Consider the following 3,160-nt stretch of genomic DNA (forward strand, 5'->3'; position numbering starts at 1 on the left):
CACCTGTAATCCCAACACTCTGGGAGGCAGAGGCAGGTGGATCATGAGGTCGGGAGTTCGAGACCAGCCTGGCCAACATGGCGAAACCCCATCTCTACTAAAAATACAAAAATTAGCCAGGCATGGTGGCATGCACCTGTAGTCCCAGTTACTCAGGAGGCTGAGGCAGGAGAATTGCTTGAACAGGGAGGTGGAGACTGCAATGAGCTGAGATCGCGCCACTGCACTCCAGCCTGAGCAACAGAGCGAGACTCTGTCTAAAAAAAAAAACAAAAACAAAAACAAAAACAAAAAAAACCTTCCAGAACACATATTATCTCCTGCACTGCCAAGTGCCCAAGCCACCAAACCCATTGCCTGACTCACTGAAGTAGCTTCCTAACTGTCCTCCTTGCCTTCCCTTAGTCTGCACATAGTAGCCAGTGCTCTTTCAAAAGGTTAAGTCTCGGCTGGGCATGGTGGCTCATGCCTGTAATCCCAGCACTTTTGGAGGGCAAGGTGGGCAGACTGCCTGAGGTCAGGAGTTTGAGACCAGACTGGCCAAAGTGGCAAAACTCTGTCCCTACTAAACATACAAAAAAATTAGCCAGACATGGTGGTGCACACCTGTGATCCCAGCTACCTGGGAGGCTGAGACACAAAAATTGCTTGAACCCGGGAGGTGGAGGTTGCACTGAGCTGAGATCGTGCCACTGCACTCCAGCCTGGGTGACAGAGCAAGACTCTGTCTCAAAAAAAAAAAAAAGTTAAGTCTGGTCATGTCTCTCTCCTCTGCTTCCCCAAATGACTCCCTATCTCTCACAGTAAGAGCCAAAGAGCCAACACCTTTAAAATAGCCTACCAGGCCCTCCATGATCTGGCCCTACTCATCTCTCTCTGACCCCACCTGCTCAAGTTGCATTGACATCCCTGTGGTTCCTTCTGCCAAGAATGCCCCTCCCTCAGATGCCCCCATGGCTCACTCTCTTACTTCCTTCAGGTCTCTGCTCAAATGTCACCTTATCACAGCATCTTCTCTGCCCACCCCAAATAGCAACCCTATCCCTGGCCCACCCCTTCCTATCTCCTAATTCTTTTTCTCTCCATACAACTTACATGTTCATCACCTCTCTCTACTGAGGACAAGGATATTGTTCTGCTTACTGTTCCATTCCCAGAATCTAGTACAGTGTCCCTGGTGTGTTGTAAGCACTTGATATTTATTGAATGAATGAATGAATGAATGAATGAATGAACGTTCAATGAAAACTTGTTAAATAAAGGCATGTGGAAATCAGGATGTTACTTTTTTGGAACATCAGAGTGAGACTTAATCCCTCAATCCACAAACCAAATCCATTTTCCTAGATGTATCAGAGAAAGGAGATTAGTTTGGTACATCACATTCACAAAAGAACGTCAAATATCCCAATGAGGGACCCTAATGTTAAAGTTGGGCCAATTAGGTCTGAGCAGAGTAATTTTTAACTTCAAGATTCATGTTTTGAGGAAGATTTTGCTGAGATGTAGATAACTTACAACTTATTCCCACAAATCTGGAATGCCTAAACTTTCATGCAAGTTGGATTTTGAGTTACTAGGTCATTGGAACTTTGTGCTTTTCAATACTTACACCCTCCTAACACCTTCATATGAAAAGAATACGTATCATCATTCTCTGGTGACTGCTGCACTAATATACAGCACTAAGTAAATAACCAGAGCGCTGGCTTGAAAAACAAACTAAAAGGGATTTAAAGGCTTAAGAACTCGCCTTAATTCAAAGAACATGTTAAGCCCATGTTAAGCCCACTTAACATGAACTTGAATAGCTCACTACTTAATTACAATAGCTCCACTCCTCTACAGCTTTTATTTTATTTTTGAGACGGAGTCTCGCTCTGTTGCCCAGGCTGGAGTGCAGTGGCGCAATCTTGGCTCACTGCAAGCTCCGCCTCCTGGGTTCACACCATTCTCCTGCCTCAGCCTCTGAGCAGCTGGGACTACAGGCGCCAGCCACCACGCCCGGCTAATTTTTTGTATTTTTAGTAGAGACGGGGTTTCACCGCGTTAGCCAGGATGGTCTCGATCTCCTGACCTTGTGTTCCGCCCGCCTCGGCCTCCCAAAGTGCTGGGATTAAAGGCGTGAGCCACCGTGCCCGGCCCAGTTTTAATTTTTTTAAAGGTGAGCCAAAACATTAGTTGTGGAGGTGAAAGCGGGGTGGTACCTTTACAACCAGAAGCTTAAATTTTGGTCCTGGAATCCCTGAGGCCCTTTTAGGAAATCTGAGGTCAAAATTATTTACATGGTACTAAAACATTACAGGTTGAGGGTCCCTAATCTGAAATGCTTCAAAATCCAGAACTTTTTGAGCACTGACATGAGGAGCAAAGGACATGCTCATTGGAGCAGTTTGGCTTTTAGGATTATGGAAGCTGAACTGATAAGCATGTAATGCAAATCTTTCAAAATCTAAAAAAAATCTGAGATCCGAAACACTTCTGGTCCCAAGCATTTCATATAAGGAATATTCAACCTGTAGTTGCCTTTTTCACATTCATTCTCCCAAGTGTACAAAAGTTTGCCAGAGACCACACAATATGCGATATCCCAGAGACTGAATGCAGAAACATATGAGAATCTGTCTTCTAATTAAGCCAAACATTAAAAAAGATTTGCAAAAAGGTAGAACAATGCCACTCTTCTATTTTTTGTTTTGGAAAAGCTATTTTTCATTCAAAAATTTTGTTAGCTTGTAATGAGTTTTTAAATATTTAAAAAAATCTTAGTTTTAATTTCTAACATGGTAAATATTTATATCCTTTTGGAGATTATAACAAAACCTTTTGGGTCCTGAATTTGTCAGTGTAAAGGAAGTGCTTACAAAAAGTTTGAGAATTTCTGCCTTAGATATACTAAATAGTGTACCTTCTGTCACCATTATCAGGAAATATCTGTCACAGCTTCTAGAACTGTGATAAGGTATTTTGCTCCCTTGCTTTAACCACAGCCTTCAGATGTCACTAAATCCACACCAAACCAATGACCAGCAGAGGACTCCCACTACTACTTAAGCTTAGGGTTTTTCTAGTAAACACCCTTCCCCTCTCCCCCAAGTACAAATCACCTATTTGTTGAAGCCCACATCCCATTATCATGAATCAACCACAGCCAGCGCAG

Source organism: Homo sapiens, chromosome 20, assembly GCF_000001405.40.
Source record: "Homo sapiens chromosome 20, GRCh38.p14 Primary Assembly".
NCBI classification, from domain to species: domain Eukaryota; kingdom Metazoa; phylum Chordata; class Mammalia; order Primates; family Hominidae; genus Homo; species Homo sapiens.